At 42.6% G+C, this 23,667-nt stretch overlaps 2 long non-coding RNA genes across 5 annotated transcripts in view, besides 5 other annotated features; both read right to left on the reverse strand.

Annotated features, from left to right (window-relative positions):
• Positions 1-3,018: 3,018 nt before the first annotated feature.
• LOC124902373 (uncharacterized) lies at positions 3,019-5,957 on the reverse strand. Its single transcript, XR_007062050.1, has 2 exons — positions 4,114-5,957; positions 3,019-3,904 (listed from the first exon to the last, which is right to left on the reverse strand). It is a non-coding gene; the product is annotated as an uncharacterized LOC124902373 (long non-coding RNA).
• Positions 5,958-6,816: 859 nt separating this feature from the next.
• LINC02642 (long intergenic non-protein coding RNA 2642) overlaps positions 6,817-23,667 on the reverse strand; it is a 28,558-nt gene continuing 11,707 nt past the window's right edge. For 3 of the 4 annotated variants that reach the window (NR_184109.1, NR_184123.1, NR_184122.1), the window contains one exon: positions 6,817-8,317. This is a non-coding gene — a long non-coding RNA (long intergenic non-protein coding RNA 2642). Of the gene's footprint in view, positions 9,123-23,667 lie in introns of all 4 variants that reach the window. The other variant, NR_184124.1, reaches the window with a different exon arrangement.
• Positions 8,127-8,333: a silencer, noted in NCBI's record as "fragment chr10:7487564-7487770 (GRCh37/hg19 assembly coordinates)". NCBI's record gives its function as "represses an EF-1alpha promoter that drives an FKBP-Casp9 reporter gene in an ReSE screen in K562 erythroleukemia cells {active_cell/tissue: K562}" and the evidence as "EXISTENCE:reporter gene assay evidence [ECO:0000049][PMID:32094911]".
• Positions 8,206-8,305: an enhancer, noted in NCBI's record as "active region_2976". NCBI's record gives its function as "activates an Ori minimal core promoter by ATAC-STARR-seq in GM12878 lymphoblastoid cells {active_cell/tissue: GM12878}" and the evidence as "EXISTENCE:reporter gene assay evidence [ECO:0000049][PMID:35858748]".
• Positions 9,390-9,889: an enhancer, noted in NCBI's record as "H3K4me1 hESC enhancer chr10:7488827-7489326 (GRCh37/hg19 assembly coordinates)". NCBI's record gives its function as "activates a minimal SCP1, AML or CMV promoter by ChIP-STARR-seq in naive H9 embryonic stem cells {active_cell/tissue: H9 hESC(naive)}" and the evidence as "EXISTENCE:reporter gene assay evidence [ECO:0000049][PMID:30033119]".
• Positions 20,083-20,132: an enhancer, noted in NCBI's record as "active region_2977". NCBI's record gives its function as "activates an Ori minimal core promoter by ATAC-STARR-seq in GM12878 lymphoblastoid cells {active_cell/tissue: GM12878}" and the evidence as "EXISTENCE:reporter gene assay evidence [ECO:0000049][PMID:35858748]".
• Positions 20,812-21,376: an enhancer, noted in NCBI's record as "NANOG hESC enhancer chr10:7500249-7500813 (GRCh37/hg19 assembly coordinates)". NCBI's record gives its function as "activates a minimal SCP1, AML or CMV promoter by ChIP-STARR-seq in naive H9 embryonic stem cells {active_cell/tissue: H9 hESC(naive)}" and the evidence as "EXISTENCE:reporter gene assay evidence [ECO:0000049][PMID:30033119]".

The following is a 23,667-nucleotide window of genomic DNA, read 5'->3' on the forward strand; positions in this document are numbered from 1 at the left end:
ATAATCCCAACCATACAGTATTGTGAGAATTCACAAAGACACCACATGAAAGCTCTTGTCACATCATAGCCACCTAATAACTAGTGTGAACAGACACAATAGCTAATATTTATGAAGCACCTAATAAAGTCTGGGCACTGAAGTATGTGTTTTATGGACATTATCTTTTTTTGTTCCTCTCAACAACCTGAAAGACGGGGTATCATTATACTCATTTGACCGACCGGGAAAAGAAGCACAGAGAGGTGGCAGGACTTATTCAGGGTCCCATAGATGCTGAGTGGTAGATGAGAATTCAAATCCAACCCAGGTTTGTGTAAGACTCCTATGTTTTAGTTAACTAGATCAGGAATAAGCCCACAGGAACCATGAGATTATAAATGACTTAGAGCTTCATCGAGAAAGCTGCCATATGTTTATTATCAATAAAAACAAATATTTTTATCTATAAGTAAAGGGGCATTAACTCGAATTACCAAAGCCACTGGGCTTTTTTTTCCAGACCCTATTTTTCTGAACCTCATTAATTCCAATTTTAAATTATTATTATTATTTTTTTGAGACCGAGTCTTGCCCTGTCACCCCGGCTGGCATGCAGTGGTGTGATCTCTGCTCACTGCAAACTCTGCCTCCCAGGTTCAAGTGATTCTTCTGCCTCAGCCTCCTGAGTAGCTGGGATTATGGGCCTGCGCTTCCAAGCCCAGCTAATTAATTCCAATTTTAGCAAGCTACATTGAAGTATCAAAATAGCACCCGGATGAATGTAGCGGAATCAGCCCAGAGGAAGGTGGAGGTGGTTTGGGGAGAAGGTACTAATCCATGCAATAAAAGCCAGCACATCGTTTGGGGCTCTTATCTCTGTTCGGATCATGACATAACCATTGCCTGTCATCCAGAACACTATCACTTGCAGGCCGCGCCAAGATTCAATCTCCAACTCCACTTTTAATAGCTGTTGTCAGCTTGTTGCTAGAGAAATTATACTTAATTACGTGAGTAATGTGGTGGGTGTTTGTGTGTGCATTTTTTTTAAGAAGAAATGGCTTAAGCAAACTGCATGGGGCCTGGGATGGGTGCAGACTGAGAGGGAGACGTGGTATCGACTAGGAGAGGGAGAACTTCCTGTGAAAAATAGGAAGTTTAATGAGACGAAAATAGAATGAGTGTGATAAAAAGCGGCGCAAGGGAACGGATCAGGGACAGAGCGTCTCCCGTGTCTGTGTGTTTAAGGGTGTTAGGGATTGCCATCAATTGAGATCGTGTAATGCACTGTCTACTTGGACCTAATGTCCACTGTATGCAGTGCTGAGAGCTACAGCAATTGAAAGATAATAAGAGGAAAATGAGTAATGAATCCGTTTTATTGTATGCTGTAAATGGCCTCCATTGAAACAGTCTGTGTTTAGACTGGTAATAAAAATGAGTGATGAAGGCAGACGTTTAACATGGGAATTGGTTCAAGCAAGAAACATATTTTCTCGTTGTTTTTTTTTTAAGCCTCACAAATAATTTGGTTTATGAAGTAACTTCTTGCTTGGAAACTTTATGTAACTACTGCACAGTTTTTATAAGCCTTGGCAAGGGGTGTGTGTGTGTGTGTGTGTGTGTGTGTGTTTCTCATTTTGTGGCTTGAAACGTTGGCAAGGGCTATCACAGTAGCCAAGGAAGTTTGAATTTTATTTGTTAATTTGTCATATGTGGACCTTTGTCTCTCCACTGGGCAAACACAGGAGCCCCAGGAAGGACCATGTTCACAAAACATGGGGCGCTTCTTAGATATCGAGGATTCTGCCGATGGGGAGATCTATTCATCAAATACTCAAACTAGCCTTGTCTAAGCCCTGGAATTATTAACCCAACAGTGTATCAGCTCCTCTTCCTTTTCTTTATTTTTATTTCTTATTTTGAGACAGGATCTTGCTCTGTCACCTAGGCTGGAGTGTAGTGGTGCAATCTCATCTCACGGCAGCCTCAGCTTCCTGGGCTCAAGTGATTCTCCCTCCTCAGCCCCTCACCAAGCAGCTGGGACTACAGGTGCACGCCACCACACTCGGCTCATCTTTAAACTTTTTGTAGAACTGTTGCCCAGGTTGGTCTTGAACTCCTGGGCTGAAGTGATCCTCCTGCCTCAGACTCCCAAAGTGTTGGGGTTACAGGTGTGAGCCACCGCCCCCAGCCTTGCAGTTTCTCCTTCTCATTTGCCCTCCAACTAAAAGAAAAAATCTGACTGGGCACAGTGCCTCAAGTCTGTCATTCCAGAGCTTTGGGAGGCCAAGGCAGGAGTAGCACACTACTACAGCCGTAAGGAAACAAAACAAAATAGCGGTGACCCTCTTCTCTAACCTGGTCAGAAAATGAGACATTCTTAGTAATTACACATGGAGCACATTGATATACTTAGGTGTGGCATTCTGTGGGTTACTAATTTGCAGCAGTTAGAACGTGGAGTCCCTGGGTCGAGTGATACACGGCCAGCAGTGTGAGTGCTGGGGAGAGCAGAGGCAGAAGGCAGAATAGATAGCAGGGGGCAAGGCCAGTGGGCAGAGACACGGCCGACCCTGAAGCATCCCATGCCTCAGTTTCCTCCTGCATACAGGAAGGTTAGATAATTGCATAGGAATTTTCAGGTTCTAAAATGTGTGCAGAACCTAAACACAGTAAAATACTGCACAAAGACATTTAAAGACTAGGGAGGGTCGAAGTCAATCTTTCAATCATACATTTCATCAAAAACATTCTTTCAGGCTGGGCACAGTGGTTCACCCCTATAGTCTCAGCACTTTGGGAGGCCGAGGTGGTAGGATAGCTTGAGGCCAGGAGTTCTAGACCAGCCTGAGCAACACAGTGAGACCCCAAATGTACAAGAAATAAAAATAAAACAAATTAAGCCTGGCATGGTGGCACATGCCTGTAGTCCCAGCTACTTGGGAGGCTGAGGTGGGAGGATTGCTTGTGTACGAGGCTGCAATGAGCCATGATCACACCACTGCACTCCAGCCTGGGTGACCCTATCTCTAAAAAAAAATTGTTTTTAATGAAAAAAAATATGATTTACTATTTTTAACCCATCATAGTTTAAGAGTCTGGACATAGGACTAGCTCATTGTTTGGAAACCTAGTATATGCCTGGCACCCTTAACACAACCCTTCCAGCAACCCTGCGAGGTGGGTCCTTTTATCCTCATTTTAAGAATCAGAAATGGAAGACTTAGGGAAGCCTAATGACTTGTCCACTAATAAGTGACAGAACCTGGAACTCAAAGCTGAGTTCAATGGACTCTAGAGGCTCATGTTCTTTCCAGGGCACTGTCGCTCAGAGTGAGGTGTACTGCCCAAGTCATGGTAATGCCTGGCGTTCGCCACCTGATAGAAGCAACAACAACAATGAACACACCTCTGCCCAGGCAAGGTGGCTCACGCCTGGAATCCCAGCACTTTGGGAGGCTGAGGTGGGCGGATCACCTGAGGTCAGGAGTTCCAGACCAGCCTGGCCAACTTGGTGAAACCCCGTCTCTACTAAAAATACAAAAATTAGCCAGGCATGGTGGTGCACACCTGTAATCCCAGCTACTCGGGAGGCTGAAGCAGAAGAATCACTTGAACCCAGGAGGAGGAGGTTGCAGTGAGCAGAGACGGCGCCCCTGCACTCCAGCCTGGGTGACAGAGCTAGAATCTGTCTCAAAAACAGAAAACAAAAAACAAAAACAAAACAAAAAATCACCTGTGGGTGTAGGAGATGGCACGGCTGTCTGCAACAGGCTGGGAATAGAGAAGGCTGCACTTCCACACTACCCTGGGATGTTTTCTTGTCTCAATTCCTCAGACCTTGGCTCCAACCTCTAAAGCAAATTGCCTGGGTTGCTTTTGCAGTGGAAAAGCACCGGCACCCATTCCAGACGAAACTCTGATTAGGAAGAAAGGGAAGAGTTTGTAAAATGGGACGAAGATGAAATTGGAACAGAGCCTGGGAAAAGGAGATTATGGGGACCCTCCCTCCAGCCTCCCAGCCCCAGCTGTGCAGTGATCCATCAGGGGCTGAGCAGTGCAATTTATGCTTTCAGTCCACAGGAGCATCCAGGGAAAATGGAGGGGGTGGCAGGGAAGAAAAATGACCTTTTTGCTCTTCCCATGTTGCTCCGGCTTTCAGATCGCGCCTGCAATATCCTTGGCTTATTTGTGCCGCGTGGAACTGTTAGCAATCACAAGAGAACGACAGGATCAGTGGGGGAGATTCCAGCCAAGGTTTGCATCCAACCACAACTCAAATTAGTCCTTTTGAAAAATGGGTTCCCACCTGAAAGCAAAAATCAAAACACAAGAAAAAAAATCCTCATTGTTTCAGGTATCTGCAGTCCACTGAGCACTTTAGTCTTTTAGAAACCAAAGCTCCATAAGCTGCTGGAACACCTTCTACAGATTAACTGTGGCTTTCCTGTGTGCGTAGAACAGCACTCATTCCAGGATTCCCCATAATGTGTAAAATATTAACGTGATAAACTGGAAATGAAATAACACCACACCTGGGGACCATCGATCATAGCCAAACAGTAGACCTGCAGGGAGACTTCTCGAGGATTGGAGGTGGAGTTTCAGAATCAGCAGCACAAAATCCAAACACTTGGTCTGGCCCCGATGGCCAAGGGAGCATGCAGGACACTTCTTTGTATCTCACTGTATAGTAGGCGTGGTTAGTGCCTCTGGATCCAGGATCTGGGGACCACCCGTCATCTTGGCGTGTTGAATCAACGCCTTGCTTCAAATGCACAGTGACTCGAGTTTGTTACTGTATTCCCCGTCTGATTCCCTGCCCCGTCTCCAGGCCCAGGCAGTGACCAGAGCTCCATGTATTCAGATGCTCTAAAGGAAACACATGTTTGAGTTGCAAGCAGGTGTTTTGCCTCCCTGTCATTGTTCTTCCCATTTAAGCTTTTCTGGAACTGCTCAATGAGCTTGCAGCTTGGGCAGCCCTTGAATTTGAGAGAGGAAGGTGGAGCGGCTATAGGGAGTGGGGAGGTCACAGAGGAGCACACCTCATTGAGGGAACCCAGCCTGAGATTCAGACTTGGTAAGTCAGCACAGGAAACAGCAGGCTGGAGAGGAGCTGGGTGCCATGACACACAAAAGGAGGAAATACCTGGGGTCCGAGTGCACTCCCACGTAAAGCTTCAATCACGCCGTGTAGACAGCTGACTCTGTGACGAGCCATGAGCCAGCTCATCCACGGGCCGTGTATGTTCCACGGCCACACAATCCATGATTGATTTTCCCTACAGAGTCCGAGGGAGAATTCAGTATAAAAATACCCTGTTCAACAAACAAGTCAAACGACCGGAAAGGGAGATGAACTGGAGGCCGAGGCGCACCCGATGGGTTAGGCAAGCCATTTGCAAGCTGAATGTGCCATGCACTCAGCCACTCTGCAGTTCTCTGCAGAGGTAGGAATTGGAATCCAAGATGTGGGGACCTCCCCACCCCATAAAATGGGTCATTTTGAAATCTTGGTCTTAATTTTTAATATGGTAAATATCAACACACATACAAGAAAAACGCTAGGATTGTCAATAATGTTTTATGAATTTAAAGGTGACACAAACCAAAATGCTTGAAAATCACTGAAAAATGACTCTTTTTCCTTGAAAAACAAAAGCAATTACAGTTTGTATTTCTCTGTCACTATTATTCCTAGTATAGTTGTAACCACTTATGTTAATCATCACTTTTCATCACAGTAAGTTCTATTTCATAAAGGAAACTGGAAGCAGGGGTGGACTGTTGAGGGATGTCATATACCAGTGTTTTCTACTGGAAAATGGGTAATTTTAAAAAAACATTTTCTGAGTAAATAGTTACATAACCTGAAATGTAAAACTGTTTTAATTCCTATTCTTACTTTACATGCTTATATTCATAACTTACACTGAATCTTTCTTTTTATTCCCCTTGAACTCTTATTTTTGTATTTTTCTATCAAAACACACCATAACTTTTGTCTGGATTATCACAGTGCTCCAGTTATCCCAGTATCCAGAGCCTCCTAGCCTCTGAATGCCACTTCTTAAGTAGGAAGGAGCAAGTGGCAGAAGCATGTTTCTGATTCTAAATTCTAAAGTAGTGGTCTCCGATTTTTTTTTGTTTTGTTTTGGAGACAGGGTCTTTTCCTGTCACCCAAGGCTGAAGTGTGGTGGGATGATCATAACCCACTGCAGCCTTAAACTCCTGGGCTCAAGTGATCCACCTACCTCAGCCTCCCAAGCAGCTGAAACTACAGGCACGTATCACCCTGCCTGGCTAATGTTTCAATTTTTTTTTTTTTTTTTTTGAGATGGCGTTTTGCTCTTGTTGCCCAGGCTGGAGTGCAATGGTGTGATCTTGGCTCACTGCACCCTCTGCCTCCCAGGTTCAAGTGATTCTCCTGCCTCAGCCTCCCGAGTAGCTGGGATTACAGGCATGCACCATCACACCTGGCTAATTTTGTATTTTCAGTAGAGACAGGGTTACTCCATGTTGGTCAGGGGGTTCACGAACTCCGACCTTGGGTGATCCACCTGCCTTAGCCTCCCAAAGTACTGGGATTACAGGCATGAGCCACCACACCCGACCTAGTGCTTTAATTTTTGTTTTTGTTTTTTTTTTGTAAAGACAGGGGTCTTCCTATGTTGCATAGATTGATCTCAAACTTCTGGCCTCAAGCAATCCTCCTGCTTTAGCCTCCCAATGTGCTGGGATTACAGGCCCGAGCCACCACACCAAAAATTTTTATTGCCTCATATCTCTACCTGTAAAAAAATAATAAAATAAAAATAATCAAGCCTAAACTCCCCATTAAATTCATAATTATTTATTTAAAGAGAATGACCATGCACTATTGTATGAATATAGTAGATACATTATAAAACATCCAGAAAAATGGGGGGAGGGAATTTTAAAGGAGAGGAAAATAAGCTTAATTGGAAGCTCCCAAGTTTTCCCCACATCATTTAATTGAATCAGAAATCCCATTTTTGAAAACCATTTGATCCAATGAAAAGGAAGGATGACTTAATGAAAGCATCCTTTGTGTTTGATAGGAGAGGCTTTTTCCATTGTATTTCTTGCCAAACACACAAACAAGCCAAGAACACAGAACAGCTCCCCAAGAAGCTAGCTTCCCTATTTCTGTTCTAAGATGTATTTAAACCAGCTTTGCTGCTACCAGTTCACTTTCTGTGGCAGAGAAAGCTGCCAGAGTTTCCTGGCTTTGTCCCTTAGTGGCCTCTCTACCGGGTGGGGCTGTGGACAGACTCAGCAGAGCATTTATTGCGGCGGCTTTGCAGCAGCCGTTTCTAAGGAGATGGTGCCTGAGCCCCATGCAGAACGCCATCCCTTCCTTTCCCCCCGATTTGTTTCTGCCTAATTGAACTCCCGCTGGCTGTGTTCCAGCACAGTTCTGTTTCACCTACTGATAAATGGTCGTTCACTTTCCAGTTTCAGAACTCAGCTAACCCCTGGAATGAACCACGGTTCATCTTCACGGTGTCCTCAGTGCAGAGCGCCGTGCATCAGACGATCGATGCGTATTCGCAGCAAATTGGCCATTCAGCAGTGCCGTGCAGGAACCTCGGAGGCACAGATACGGAACAGCTTTTCTGACAATGTCATGGCCTTCCCCAGACTCACTGGGGAACCTTATTTGAAGTTTTAAGAAAAAGAACTTGGACTTTCTTACAGCTTCTTGCTAAAGTTCAGGAGTTCTAAATGATTACCCCAGAGAACCCATCAGATAACTATGTCTCCAACTAAATGAATAAGATGAAATTTGACACAAAATAAATACAGGCACCTATCTGTCCATGGGTCATTTGGGGAAAACCAGAAACATGTATTTAATGCATGTCTCTGAACTTACATACTTCCAGTCATCAAAGTAACTAAAGCTTATAGAACAAGCAATTCCACGGATGATCTAAGCCCATCCTGCGCTGGACACCTCTGAGAAAGTGAATTAGCATTAGGATTATTGCAGAGAGATAAGAATCTAAGTAAGTCTAAAATGTGGAACATGCTGCTTATATTTAATTTTGTTTTGTATTTTCCTTTCTTCTCTTCTAATTAGGTGATTTTAGAGGAATAAACACCCTTAGCCGTCAGCCAACATTTTACAAATGAAGGCCAGCAAGGGAAAGGAGCTCACTGAAGGCCCATGCTCATTAATGAGGAAGCAAAAACAACAGCACACAGCCTCTGTTCCCAGGGCCACGCTCCTCGATTTCTAAGCGCTGTTCCAGTTCACACAGGACAAGACATCCTTTTTTCTTCTAGAACAACAGCTCAGCCCCACCTGAAAGAAAAAGTTCATTGATACTTTTTCAAAGGCTTCACAACTCAGCTTTTTTGGAGACTTCAGCAAAATAAGTCATTATCTGGCCAACTTTAAGAATGAGGTTTGCTAAATGTATCAGCATTCTGAGGTTATCAGAAGACTCTGCACACTTGCATATCTCACAAATACCGTCAATAAATACATAGTTTCATTTCCTCATTGATTCACACATTGCTTTTCCTATGTGAAATGCTTCATAACAGGCTCAATATGAATATTCAAAAAGAATGTGATGTGGTCTGCCATGAATATAAGTCAGTAAGTAATAAACATTGCTAAATGTCCTATTCCGTAACGTAGTGATAACCTACTCCCTCTATTTAGGAAAATCACATGGTCCTTGACTTCTTTTTGGAGGACAGAGTCTCACTCTCTCATCCAGGCTGGAGTGCAGTGGCACAATCCCAGTTCACTGTAGCCTCAACCTCCTGGGCTCAAGTGATCCTCCCATCTCAGCCTCTTGAGTAAATGTGACCACACGTACACACCATCACGCTCGGCATTTTTTTTTTTTTTTGTCTTGTAGAGACAGGGTCTTACCATGTTGTCCAGGCTGGTCTCAAACTCCTGGGCTCAAGTGATCCACCCACCTCAGCCTCCCAAAGTGCTAAGATTACAGGCATGAGCCATTGCACCTGAACAGTCCTTGATTTTTAAAAAATTCAAATAATAATACAGTTTAAAATGAAAAGCAAACCCCTTTTGTCTCAGAGTCCTAGTTCCACTCCTCAGCAGTTCCTGGTGTACCTTCCAGATACTGTCCCTGCGGACACACAATACAAATGGGGACACAGAAATCACATTATTCTATGTCTTGATTTGTATGCCTGGTGATACACCTCGACAATCTCTCTGTATCAGCACACACAGCTCTATTCGTTTCCTTCCAGTTCTGGAGCACTCCACTGGAATGACGTGCTATACATTTTGAACCAGCCTCGATTATGGATATTCGAGTTATTTTCAGTTACTGTTCTTGCTGTGGCAAACAATGCAGCAATGGCTTTGCTTTTACATACGTCTTTATGCGCATTTTCAGCATATCTGCAGAATAAATTCCTAAAACTGAAATTGCTGGATCAAAGGGCGTATTCATTTTCTAATTTCGTTAGATATCACCAAATAACACTCTATCTTAACACGAAACAAACACTTGCAAGGATGCTGTGCTAATTTACACTCTCATCTACCGTGCACTTGAGTGTTGGTTTCTCATGCCCTTGCTAGCACCTAACTTTGTCAAGGTGATTGGTAAAAAAACCGTGTCTCAGTTCCATTTGTAGTTCTTAATTGTCAGCATGTTAGAGCATCTTTTCATCTTGGAACTCTGTATATAATGATTTTTATGTTACCTACCTGCCTTTGTCCATTTGTTTTTTATTATTTATAAAAATCTCTTAATAGGTTTTATAAGATAATCTTTATCTTTTGCATTGCAAATTTTTTTCTCAGTTTGTCATATGGCTTTATTATGTTTTACCATATTCAAGTTTAATATATATATATTTTATTCATTTATTTATTTATTTATTTTTGAAATGGGGTCTCACTGTGTTGCCGAGGCTAGAGTGCAGTGGCACAATCTCGGCTCACTGCAACCTCCACCTTCTGGTTCAAGCGATTCTCCTGCCTCAGCTTCCAGAGTAACTGGGACTACAGGTGTATGTCACCATGCCCAGCTAATTTTTGTATTTTTATCATGTTGGCCAGGCTGGTCTCAAACTCTTGACCTCAAGTGATCCACCCACTTTGGCCTCCCAAAGTGCTGGGATTACAGGTATGAGTCACCGTGCCTCGCCAAATTTAAGATAAATATATATATAGATATATATATAACATATATATACAGAGAGAGAGAAAGGGAGAAAAAGATAGAGGTTGATTAATTTTTTTATAGCTTCTGAGGTTTGTGTATTGCTCTGAAATGACTTTTTTTGTCCCAAGATTTTTTTTTAAATCTCCCATATTTTCTTCTAGTGATTTTATGTGGGTTTTTTTTTTTTTTAAGTTTAAATGTTTGGTTCAGACTTTCACTTCATAAGAGCATGAAAGCATTTTGTTCCCATGGTAATGTCAAGAAAAACTCAGAGAAAATAAAAATCATACTTTCCCATGGGGCTAACAAAGATCAGGAGTCAAAAGAAGACTTAATGAACTGAATTTTGGAAAAATGAGTCCTTCATTGGCAAAGAGAAAGCCAGGACAGCTTCCATTTCCAACAACAGTTTCTGACCTAGGCATGGCAAGTTTGGCCTAGACAGAAATTTGGAAGGAGGAGAAAAAATCAGCTGAGCTATACATGATAGTGCAGCCTGGATGCATGGATTGCAATATAGGAGTATCCCAACTGCAAAAACAAATTAGGCCAATCACTTTCACATCACCACCACCACCTCAAACTGACAAAAAAGTATCCATGAAGAAAGGGCAAAGATGCAGGGCAAAACTACAAAGACCCATGTACTTCCACAGTGCTTGGATTCCAAGAATATTCAAAGGGAATGTGATGTGGTCTGCCATGAATACAAATCAGTGAGTAATAAACTTTGCTAAATGTCCTATTCCATAACATAGTAATAACCTCCTCTTTTTATTTATGAAAATCACATGGTCCTTGACCTTTTTTTTGGAGGACAGGGTCTCATTCTGTTGCCCGGGCTGGAGTGCAGTGGCACAATCACAGCTCACTGTAGCCTCAACCTCCTGGGCTCAAGTGATCCTCCAACCTCAGCCTCTCATGTAACTGGGAATCCAAAGTAAGTTAAAAATAGCTAAAACGGAAGCTCATCTACTCAAATATTGATAATATCTAAAAGATAGCAGTAGTATGAGAGTGAGGGTTGGTCTAAGCATAGGAAATCTCAATTTAATTAAAAATTCAGCCAATTTGACTCTAAAAGGAATCTGAATAATTAGCCCTTCTCCTTGTTAGACAGAGGGAAAGAGCTTGTATTCTCTGGGGCAAAAACATCAAAACATTATTTACTTCAATCTTCATTGTATTTTTATATGCATATCTTAGATACAATAAAAAAATTGAGGCATGCAGAGATACAAGACATACTCACCAATAACCAAAAGAACGCATAGTCAATAGAAGCAGGTCCATAGTTAAACCCAGTTATTGGAACTAGCAGCAAGAATATTTAAGCAATTATCATACACATTTTAAACAAATTTATAGGAAAATGTGGATCTAATGGGTAAGAGATAGGGGTATGTCAGAAGAGAAAAGAGAACTCTAAAAAAAGACAAAATGGAAACTCTAGGATGATAAAATGCAATGTCTGTGATAAAACATTCACTGGATGACATTAACAGCAGTTTGAATTTTCAAAAGAAAGCATTAGCAAACCTAAACACAGGTCAATAGAAATTATCCAATTAAGTCAGAGTTTGAAAAAAGAGTAAAAACAATCAAAGAATGTGGTGTCAATAATGAGACTGACGACTGACATTCCATCAGAAATGATGCAAGTCAGAAGACAATGAAATGATAACTTTAAAGTGCTAAGAGAAAATAAACACTATCAACCTAGAATTCTATATACAGTATTCTCCCTTTATCCACGGTTTTGCTTTCCAAGGTGTCAGTTACCCATGACCACTGCAGTCTGAAAATATAAAATGGAAAATTCCAGAAATAAACAATACATAGATTTTAAATTATGTGCTGTTCTGAGTAGTAGAATGAAATCCCACACTGTCCTGCTGCTTCCCGCCTGGGATGTGAGTCATCCTTTTGTCTAGCATATTCACAGTCTATGATACCTGCCTGCCAGTGACAAAGTAGCTCTCTTGGTTACCGGATTAAAAAAAAAACCAACAGAATGTATGTAGGGTTCAGTACTATCTGTGGTTTCAGGCATCCACTGGGGGTCTTGGAATGTATCCCCCACAGATAAGGGGGAACTAGTGTATAGTGAAACCATCTTTCAGAGGCAGCAGATGGGCAAACCAGATATAAAAGAAACAAAGTCACAGTGTGGCAGTCATACATAGGGAGTGACAGATGTCCAATTCTGAGGGCACAAAAAGATGTCTGGTCCCCAGAGTTCCTGATGGATCGTTAATGCTGGTGCTGTGTTCTGACTGATAAGAAGCCATTGTTCTTTCTTCTCTTGAGTAGTGGCTGCTTAGTTGCTGATATACTTTCTTGATTCCTCTATTTTCTGTTCTTTTTCTTTTAAATGACAAGTCGTCACCTGAAATCAGATAAAGTCTCTATGCCTTGCAACCAGAAAGAACTGACAATATAATTCCTTTTGACAGGATGGCTTCTCACGTAAGATTTTGGGACATTTCACAAACATTTAATATTAAAAAGAGAGAAGAAGAAAGTTTAACAGAGGAAAAGAGCACTGGATGTTTTCCCAGGGTCCCAGACCTCCAGGCAACTGTTTCCTCATTGCACATGAGGACTAGCTGTCTTTCAATTCAAATTATGTAAATTTTCACAAATTCTCTCTGGTGATAATGCAAAGAGAGAATGAAATATCACTCACTGGTTGGTAAAAATTCAAGGAGAACAGATTGTTGGCTTTGATGAGATAGTCCAAATTTTTAACGTGGAGTGTAGACAGGTGTCCTGGGTGAAAGTCAACATAAAGGAATTGAGAAAAGGACAGTAAAGGGCTTTTCACTGTTTTCTGCATTTTAAGCCAAGGTAAGTTTATGAGAATCTTTTCTAAATTGCCATAATTATAATAACCTGTCCCCTGGTAGTCATCATTTAGCAGTGTGTTTTTTCTATAGCTTGTGTTCAACAAATAGCAGTGTATCTATTACTGGGAATACTTACTGTAGGAAACACTGCCCACCAGCCACTCTGCAGGGGTGGGGTGTTACCAGTTATTTTCAAGGCAATGCTTTTTTTTGTTTTTTGTTTTTTGTTTTGAGACAGTTTCACTCTGTCACTCAGGCTGGAGTGCAGTGGTGCAATCTTGGCTCACTGCAACCTCCATCTCCCAGGTTCAAGTGATTCTTCTGCCTCAGCCTCCCAAGTAGCTGGGATAACAGGCATCCACCACCACACCTGACTAATTTTTGTACTTTTAGTGGAGATGGTGTTTCACCATGTTGGCCAGGCTGGTCTTGAGCTCCTGAACTCAGGTGATGCACTCATCTCAGCCTCCCAAAGTGCTGGGATTATAGGTGTGAGTCACCATGCCTGGCCTCAGGGCAATGCTTTTTAAAATGTTGTTTAGACTCTACCCTCTGCCAAGAGCTGGTCTAAAGATGGGCACCCATCCTTTGGCTTTTAAACCTTCTTTTCACATACACAATACTTAAGTCCAAGGTTACGGTAGCTCTGCTTCTCTGGGTCCCTCTTGGCCCTTTCTCCTCTCTGCACCAGCTTTATCCTAAGGCTGGCATCTCTCAAGGTTGCAAGATAGATAAGGCACTTCCAGGCATTATGTTTAGAGACTGCGATGTTCAGAAGAAGAGCTTTTGTCACCTGCCCATTCCTAAGCCAATCACCATCAAGGAGAATTGGATTATTCAGGCAAACTAGAATCTACCACCTGGAGCTAGGGATAGGCTAGCCTCTCCTAAGAGGCTTGGTTGTATAGAGGAGAATATATTTCTCAATAAACTCTGGGTTCTGTTAGGAAGGAGGAAGAGTTAATAGATGTTAGGCAATTTAGGGCATCCTGCCCAAGTTAAGTTTTCCAGTGGCTGTATCATTGCTTTTTAACAAATCACAGTTTGTTTAGTTTCATTATCATTAATTTTATTTATTGTGGATTGTTTTGCTAAGCCTACCATATGTAGTGAAGCATATCTTCACCAACAATACTTTGAACTGTAATTTCCAATAACTAAACTTAAAGACTGTGAACACTGGGAACCAAGAATAGATACCTGCATCTCCTTACCAAAGCGGATAAAGTCGCCGTCTTCACCACCATCGCCAATACCCCTAAGCTTGTGTCCACAATGATTCTTGTTGTTAGTAGAGTTTTTCCTTAAAAAGGAGAAGAAGAATGCCTGTAATCCCAGCACTTTGGGAGACCGAGGTGGGCGGATCACCTGAGGTCAGGAGTTCAAGACCAGCCTCACCAACATGGAGAAACCCTGTCTCTATTAAAAATACAAAGAATTAGCCGGATGTGGTGGCACATGCCTGTAATCCCAGCTACACGGGAGGCTGAGGCAGGAGAATCGCTTGAACCCTGGAGCTGGAGGTTGCAGTGAGCCGAGATCACGCCATTGCACTCCAGCCTGGGCAACAAAAGCAAAAAAGCGAAACTCCATCAAAAAAAAAAAAAAGAGAGAAGAAGAAAAAGCAACTTATGTGTGCTTATGGGATATGATACTCTGTCCAAGAAGGCTGAGCTCAGAAATGATCGAGAATCTCTGCTTTGGATGGGAATTCCTGTGAGCATTTTCCATTCTTCTTTGCCATAATGAAGAAAGATAGAGTCTCTTTCTTAGTGTCATGTGTGCTTACTTCAGTCTTAGGGTGGCAGAGACCCAGCTTCTCCTCATTCGTCTCTCCTGTCTAAATTGAAAGAAATAAGATCCCTTTACTCAGTTGACCTTCTCCTATTTCTTGTATAAAGTAGAAAGATCAAGATTTGGGAATTAAAAATACAACGTCTCCGGCTGGAGTAATTGCAAGCTAATTACTGCTATCATTATGCATTAAATTAAAATATCAGCATTTAAACTGTACATGCTACAAAGTTCAGGCCCTCATTACATCTTACTTGATCACTTCACTTGCTTCTAACTTGATCTCCCTGACTTCTCCAATCCGTCTTGCACAACATTCCCAAGGGATCTTTCAAAAACACAAATCTGATAGTGTCACTTTCTTGCCTATATTTTTTGTTTGTTTGTTTTTAATGAAACAGAGACTCACTCTGTCGCCCAGGCTGTAGAATGGCTTGAACCCATCTCTGCCTTTTGGGTTGGAGCGATTCTCCTGCCTCAGCCTCCCAAGTAGTTGGGATTACAGGCGCCTGCCATCATACCTGGCTAATTTTTGTATTTTTAGTAGAGATGGGGTTTCGCCATGTTGACCAGGCTGGTCTTGATCTCCTGACCTCAAGTGATCCACCTGCCTCAGCCTCCCAAAGTGCTGGGATTACAGGTGTGAGCCACTGCACCCAGCCACTTGACTATAATATAATTCTTAAAAGCCTTTCTACAAACTAATTGGGCGCACGCACCCATCTTATTTTCTGGCCTCTGCCTGTCTCTCCAACCTCATCTCTCACCCCAGAAGCCAGCAAAATTCTGCTGGGCACTGCAGTCTTACGACTCCCTTCGTGCAGTGTCCAGAACATCTGTGTGCTTCCTGGCTTCCAGCCTTTGTCCACCTCACTCCCTCTACCTAGAATGTCCTTTCTCCCTTATTCTTCTGTTAAATCCCCATTCATGCTTCAAAATTCCCTCCAAACACCCCATTGCCTTTAAAAATCTGCCTTTACTCTGCCAGGAAGTTTGTTGCCTATCTTTGATGCCTTATTAGTAGTGTTTAAGATGGTGGGTTTCTAAGCCAAACTGTCCAGGTTCAAAGTCAGTTCCCACCACTTACTGGCTATGTCACCTTGTCAAGAACTGTGCAGAGATTGAGATTTTATGTCACATACAAGCTATCTAGTTCACTGTTGCTGTTTCACAGGGGCTGGCAGAAGACTTGGAACTCCTGGGTCAGAGACAAAGGACTTTGTGAATCACGACGAAAGCAGTAGACAGAGCTGCACGGTTGCTGGTTCCCTGTGCCCCCAAGTCTTATGGTGGTGATGTAGACGGCTCCTCGTGGATGCCTGCGCACAAAGTCAGTCACCTTACAGGAGAGGAACCCTGAGCCTGAGCTTGGGAAATCACCGCTTTTATAATAAGTGGAATACAAAGCCTTCCCTGCGGAGAAAGGGGAACACTCATACACTGTTGGTGGGAATCCAAATTAGTACAACCTCTGTGGAAAACAGTGCGGAGATTTCTCAAAGAACTGAAAACAGAATTATCATTCAACCTGGCAATCTCACCCCTGGGTATCTACCCAAAGGAAAACAAATTGTTGTATCAAAAAGACACTTCCTCTCATATGTGTATCGCAGTACTATTCACAATAGCAAAGATGTGGAATCAACCTAAGTCCATGGATGAATGAATGAATTATAAATGCCCATCAATAATAGACTGGATAAAGAAAATGTGGTATAATTCACACTACGGAACACTATGCAGCCATAAAGAATAATGAGATCATGTCCTTTGCAGGGACATGGCTGTAGCTGGAGGCCATTATCCTTAGCAAACTAATGCAGGAACAGAAAATTAAATACTGCATGTTCTGACTTATAAGCAGGAGCTAAGAGATGAGAATACGTGGACACAAAGAGGTAACAACAGACATTGAGGCCTATTGGAGAGTGGAAGGCTGGAGGAGGGAGAGGATCAGGAAAAATAACTAATGGGTACTAGACTTAATGAAATAATCTGTACAACAAACTCCCATAGCACAAGTTTGCCAATGTAACAAACCTGCACATGTACCCCGAACTTAAAAGTTAAAAAAAAAAAAAAGAAAATGTGAAACATATACACCATGGAATACTATGCAGCCATAAAAAAGATTAAGATCATGTCTTTCGAAGCAATATGGATGGAGTTGAAGGCCATTGTTCTAATTGAAATAACTCAGAATCAGAAAGTCAAATATTGAATGTTATCGCTTACAAGTAGGAGGAAAACAAGGGGTACACATGAATACACAGAGGTAAATAATTGACATTGAGGAACCCAAAAGAGTGGAGGGCAGGATGGGGGGATGAGGGTTGAAAAATTACCTATTGGGTATAATGTTCACTATTTGGGTGATGGGTACACTAGAAACTCAAATCTTGCATTATGTAATAAATCCATGTAACAAACCAGCACATGTATCCCCAAATCTATAAAAATAAATTTTTTTAAGGTGAAAAAAAGGCTTCTCTTTGTCCAGAAGGAAAAATGCTACCTCATCCTTCAAGGCTGCTTGCTGCCGCCCCAAGACACAGCCCAGATAAAGGGCCATCAGGCACGCACACCTGCAGGATGAGGAAGAGACACTCAGGGCCACGGTGGATTGCCTCTCCCGGGAGCCCTGGACCTACTATTGAACCTCTCGCTACCTCAGTTTCCTTGTGTCTTAAGTTGGGATAATCATAGTACCTGCATCATAGAGGTTTTGTAAGGGTTGAAAGGATTAACCCAGAAGAAGTGATAAGTCCCAGCTATTACTATCAATCTTCCACTTTGCCCTTCCCTACTTCCACATATTTTATGTGTAGCTTTTATTCTATTTCACGGTAAATAAATAATAGAGATGAAGTCTCACTATGTTGCCCAGGCTGGTCTCAAACTCCTGGGCTCAGGCGATCTTCCCCACTAGCCTCCCAAAATGCAGGGTGCAGGGGTAACAGGTGTGTGAGCCACCACACCCAGCCATAAGGGTACATTTGCAGATCTTCTTTTTCCCCACTGCCTAACAGCTCCTTGAAGCATATTCATCCTTGCAGCTCAGATGCCAGTACAGGGTAGATAATTATTATATTTGTTGATTAAAAGAGTAAACAAAAAGTCTTCCCGTATATCAACCAGTGTGATCTGACTAGAGTCTCTGTATACTTTTGATCAAATTTCATGACTCCAAACTTTTCAATGCTTTGGTGAAAAAAAAAATCATCATTCTGTTTTAGGTAGTGCTCTTTTCAACGCAATAACATGAAATGGCAATTTATTAATATAGGAAGATCAAGTAGTTCCTCCAGGAAAATTACCTGGTCTCACCTGTTTACATTTCTATGAAATGGGAACGATAATAGTGCCTACCTGTAGTGCAGTTGGGAGAAATAATGAGTTGACGTATGTAAAATGTCTAGAAGAGCACTTAGCACATGCTACATCTATCTCAGCTTTTTATTCCTCATTGGAGCTCATGACCTCTTGTTTAGTTATGGGAAATCATTGCATATTTCAGTCATTTGCGATGCCTAAAAGATAGAAACTTAGTTTCCACTATTATTGCTTTAATTCAGAAAACAGTGTCTCTGGAGATAGGAGTCCAATGGGTCATTGTTTTATCAACAGTTTCTCAGAACAATCCAGGTGAACACATGGCAGCCCTTCTTGAGGGCTGGCTGGACCTAATAGGCTTCCTCTGACCAGATAGAAGCAGCCAGGAGAGGTGACCCCATGTCTAACATAAATTCTGATCTGTGACCAGTAAATCAGCACATCTCAGAAAAATGAATACGTAAAGGAAGAATAAAAAAAGTCACCGAAACCATTTAACATGGCCTTTGTTTTATGTACCTGATAGGAAACCATCATCCAGTCTTTTTTTCTGAAATAAATAAGGCTGTGGATGGATAGCAGTTTCTATAACAATCTCCAATTCTTTCAGCTGAGTTTCCTGAAATCATGGTCCTTCACTCTACTTCTTTGACTGTGCCAACCTTGCTGAAACAAGACTTCCCTGTTCTTTGGCCCCGTGTGCTGTTTTGTTAGCTAGAAAATGCAGCCTTCTAATCGGTATGCGCTTTACTGGTCTCCGGTGTCTACTAAACAGCCAAAAGCCCCTCTCGCCCTAGAAAGAGTAGAACTCAGAAACGCTTATGGCCTGCGGGTGAGACAAGATTGACTACAGGACTGCGATTTCTTTGGATTTCACAACAAGACCTGTGTTGTTTCCTCTACCCCAGTCTACCTAGAATGGGATTTCACCCACAGCTGCTGCCAGCACCCACTCACCCCTGACGACACACACCTGCCTGGCCAGCCAGAGATCCACGGCGCTAATGCACTGCTTTTCCGAGGCGGGAGAAAGATAATGGAAAGATTGATAGACAGAAAGAGGAGTTCAACAAGACAACAGAATGCTCAGAAGTGCACATCCTAGTTCCATTTCTAACTGCACCTGGCCTTGTTATATGCGTGTAGCTTCTTACGCTGCCATGCATGTTGTGTATGTATATATACATGTAAAAATATATATTCTTTTAAAAATATTTAACAATTGTGGGCTCTGATAAAAGAGACTTTAGTATTTTTCAGATCAAGAGGCTATCGTGTGCCTAATCACATATTCGGTTGAGAGCGGGTCCAGAATTTGGTCTTGGTTGTTCTGATTCTCAGCCGGAAGCAAGTGCTGCTGTGTACCATGGTGTCTCTTCTGTGTGCCTCAATATGAACCATTTGCACCTGAAGTCGGCTACATAAAAAACTCAAACTCTCTTTTTATTTATTTACTTTTTTTTTTTTTTTTTTTTGAGATGGAGCCTTGCTCTGTCGCCCAGGCTGGAGTGCAGTGGTGCTATCTCGGCTCACAGCAACCTCTGCCTCTGAGTTCAAGCGATTCTCCTGCCTCAGCATCCCAAGTAGCTGAGACTATAGGCACCCACCACCATGCCCGGCTATTTTTTTGTATTTTTAGTAGAGGGGGGTTTCACCATGTTAGCCACGATAGTCTCGATCTCCTGACCTCATGATCCGCCTACCTCGGCCTCCCAAAGTGCTGGGATTACAGGCGTGAGCCACCGCGCCCGGCCTCAAACTCATTTGCTAAACAATATAGTATCCAGTAAGTACCAGATGTTCCCAGAGCTTCCATGCATTCAGACAAGGAAACAGGGAGCCCCTCAGAGTACTGCTACAGGATCCCCAACTTCCTTCTCTCCCTGAGCATGTGGGAAGGCCAGACTTCCTGTGCAGTTAGTTGCAGACTCATGAATCAGCTTTGGGAAATGGAATATGTGTCTACGTGGCATCCTCACTACTGGCTGGGCCACACAATATCCCACACTGTGTCCCCATCCTTTAAATGACTTAAACCCAAATCCTTCCACAACCTCTTTTCCCTGTCTGACTAAGAAGCAGAGGGCCCTGAGATAGGAGAACACAGACAAAATTTGAGGAAGAGCTGTCTTGCAAAATTGCGTGACCTGAAAAACAGTTTATAAGAGCAAAAAAGAAACTGTGATGATGTTAAGCCACTGCAACTTTAGAGGTTTGTTTTGTTGTGAGACAGAGTCTCGCTCTGTTGCACAGGCTGCAGTACAGTGGCACGACCTCAGCTCACTGCAACCTCTGCCTCCCGGGTTCAAGTGATTCTTCTGCCTCAGCCTCCTGAGAAGCTGGGATTACAGGCGCCTGCCACCACACCAGGCTAATCTTTGTATTTTTAGTAGAGATGGGGTTTCACCATGTTGGCCAACTGGACTCAAACTCCTGACCTCAAGTGATCGGCTCACCTCGGTCTCCCAAAGCACTGGCATTACAGGTGTGAGCCACTTCACCCAGCCTTTAGACGTATTTGTTACAGCAGCGTCTCTAACTCGTGTCTCCTTAGTTCGCCTGACAGGTCTCCTGCAGCTTCAGTGTGCGGCTGAAGGCCCTTCTCAAGGACTGGGTCTCTCCCTGTGGTAGGGTTCTCCATTTAACATGGTCATGGTTCACGGTTTCATGTACCTGATAGGCAATCATCACTCCGTGTTGTTTTTTTTTTTTCTTTTTTTCTGAAATAAATGAGGCTTTGGATAGATGCCTATTTCTATTATGATGTCAAATTCTTATATACCATAGGTCTTTCTCTGACCACAGCAGATTGCTTATCCTGCACATGGGACATGCAGGAAATGCTAAGGAATTAATAGGAGCAGCCCCCAACCAACAAGGGACGGAGGTTGGTGGATATATAATGTCTCAGCTTCCCTGCTGCGGGGAGACAATTGTCAGATACTCTCTGCATATTTGCTCCACAGCAGGACTGCGCCCAGTGGCTCAGAGTGGAAACCCTCTCTTCCTTGCTTTCCTTCCCACCTTCCTTCCCACTCCTTCACTGTACTTGTCAGGATCACTTCCCAAATAAATGACTTAAACCCCAACCCTTGCACAGTGCCCTGCTTTTGCAAGAGGCCAAACCCACAGAAGGGAGTTAGCATTCATTTTGCTCATATGGGAAGAATGCAGTTGAATGAATCACGTGGGCAGCCTAAAATTTTTAAGCTTGTGAATTCCAGTTCTGTTCATGGTTCTAGTACATGAACCAGCAAATCAGGGTCACCTTACTTATCTAATATTTGAGGGAACTGGCAAGGAATAAGTAATAATCCTGAAATTATTTGCAAATGCTAAATACCATTTTTAATTAATAAGCAAAAACTACAGTCTTTAAAGAGTGTTTTCTGGTTAAAAGCAAAGCCCATTCAGCATATTAAACTTGGAAAACAGAGACAAACCCAAAGAGAAAAATAAAATGTCCCCATTATCCCATGGCAGCTTTAAAAATTTAAGTGTACAGCCTTTGGGTGCTTTTTTTCCCCTCTGTGTATATATAGGTTAGCAAAATGAGATCACATTGTATAAAGAGTATTGTAACTTGATTTGAATTTACCAAAAAAACAGATGTGTAGCTTTCAGTGGTACTCCGGATATATTTTAGAGAGTTCTCTAATCCTTGAGTCTGCAGGATATAAACTGATGTGCCATATCCATGTTGTACTTCATTCCATCCCAGGACCACTTGCTAGACTCACATAGAAATATGCAAAGGTCAAAATGAATTTATATTTATTTAGCAAACTCAGTGAGATCAGGGATTTTCCTTTTTCTACTTTGTTATAGCCAGAGTTTAGAACAACGCTTCACACAATATGCATTCAATAAATATGTATCGAATAAATACATGAAACAACAAAGCAGCTAACACCATTTTACTGACTGGTTTAGGTCCACTTGTAGTCAATGTGAAGCCAAAATCAGTGTCCAGTAACAAGCACTTTTATGAGCACTGGTTTTCTGGGATGGCTGCTTATTGCGTTTTCTCTACTTTATTCCCTTAGTCATGGGTCAGACTTTCCTGCTATCAACAGCAATCAAACCCTGCCATTTCATAGCAACCTAAGGCCCCCAAAACAGGGTGGGGTTTCCCAAGAGCAAGGCACAGCTCGTTCCTATTGCTGGAACTCTCCCTTCTCTACAAAAATATCGTGTCCTCATAAGTCATTCACACCAACTTCCATTTGTCAAGATAATTGGGGACATTTTACAATGCTGTAACCTAGATGTTATCGTGGAGACTCGCCCTGTTTCCAATTTGCAATCTTCAGGAAGGTGGCCATGCGCCTGCCATTCAGCAGGGCCACGGACCCACTGCCAAAGGACTCATGGCTTGCAGTGTCACTGACCCTCACCATCCTAAGATCATCCGAGGTGAGGCGCTGAACACAGAGCCTCAGGCAGCCCCTCAGTTCTCTCCTGCAAGTCCAGACAAGGACTTGCTGGTTTATTTCACTTAGATTCTTGCCTCTTGGGGGCTTTGAGAACATGGAGTGGTATTGACATAACCTTAGGGATCTATCTCTGTGACCAGCTAAATGCAATTGTCACCATTTTGATTATTCGGTGACGTCAGACGTCACCTGGCTAAGCTGGCTCCCCACTGAAAATGTGACTCTGGTTTTTTGTCCTTGCGATAGTTTGCTGAGAATGATGGTTTCCAGCTTCATCCATGTGGGAATTGAACAATGAGAACACTTGGACACAGGAAGGGGAACATCACACACCAGGGCCTGTTGTGGGGTGGGGAGATGGGGGAGGGAGAGCATTAGGAGAAATACCTAATGTAAATGACGAGTTAATGGGTGCAGCACACCAACATGGCACATGTATACATATGTAACAAATCTGCACGTTGTGCACATGTACCCTAGAACTTAAAGTATAATAATAAAATATATATATATTTTATATATATATATAATATATATATATAAAAGAAAAGAAAAAAGAAAATGTGACTCTGATACAACGAGAATGCTTTCATTGAATTTTAACTTCAAGGACAAGTGGGAAAACTTGGCTTCGGTGAACCGGCTGCAAGTGCAGTATTCCATGAGTGTGGCACGTTTCAAACCTTAAACACCCCTCCAGGCTGGGGGGCATAGATGATAGGTGCCCAGCCAGCCCTTCCTCTACTACAATACGTCCTCTCACTTTTAGGTGGTATCTTTCATTTTGTTTTGGAAAAATTAGCTTCATGCCATGAGCTGAATGGTAGTACCGTGGGGAAGGGCAAAGAGAGCTGATTAGCCGCTTTGTCAACAATAAAATCCCCTTCCAGCCACTTCTGTAGCTCTAAGGAGCCATCACAGCGCATTGAATGTGGTGGAGACTCATTCACAGTCAGTTACATTGAAGAGAATAAGCCATGGATTGCTGTATTGTCATAGTTGCCTTTTTATTGTTTTTGGAATAAAGGTAGCCCAGTACTACAGCCCTGAAAAAACAAACAGCAAAATAAGTAATTACTG

The sequence above is a fragment of the Homo sapiens genome, chromosome 10, assembly GCF_000001405.40.
Source record: "Homo sapiens chromosome 10, GRCh38.p14 Primary Assembly".
Lineage (NCBI taxonomy): Eukaryota > Metazoa > Chordata > Mammalia > Primates > Hominidae > Homo > Homo sapiens.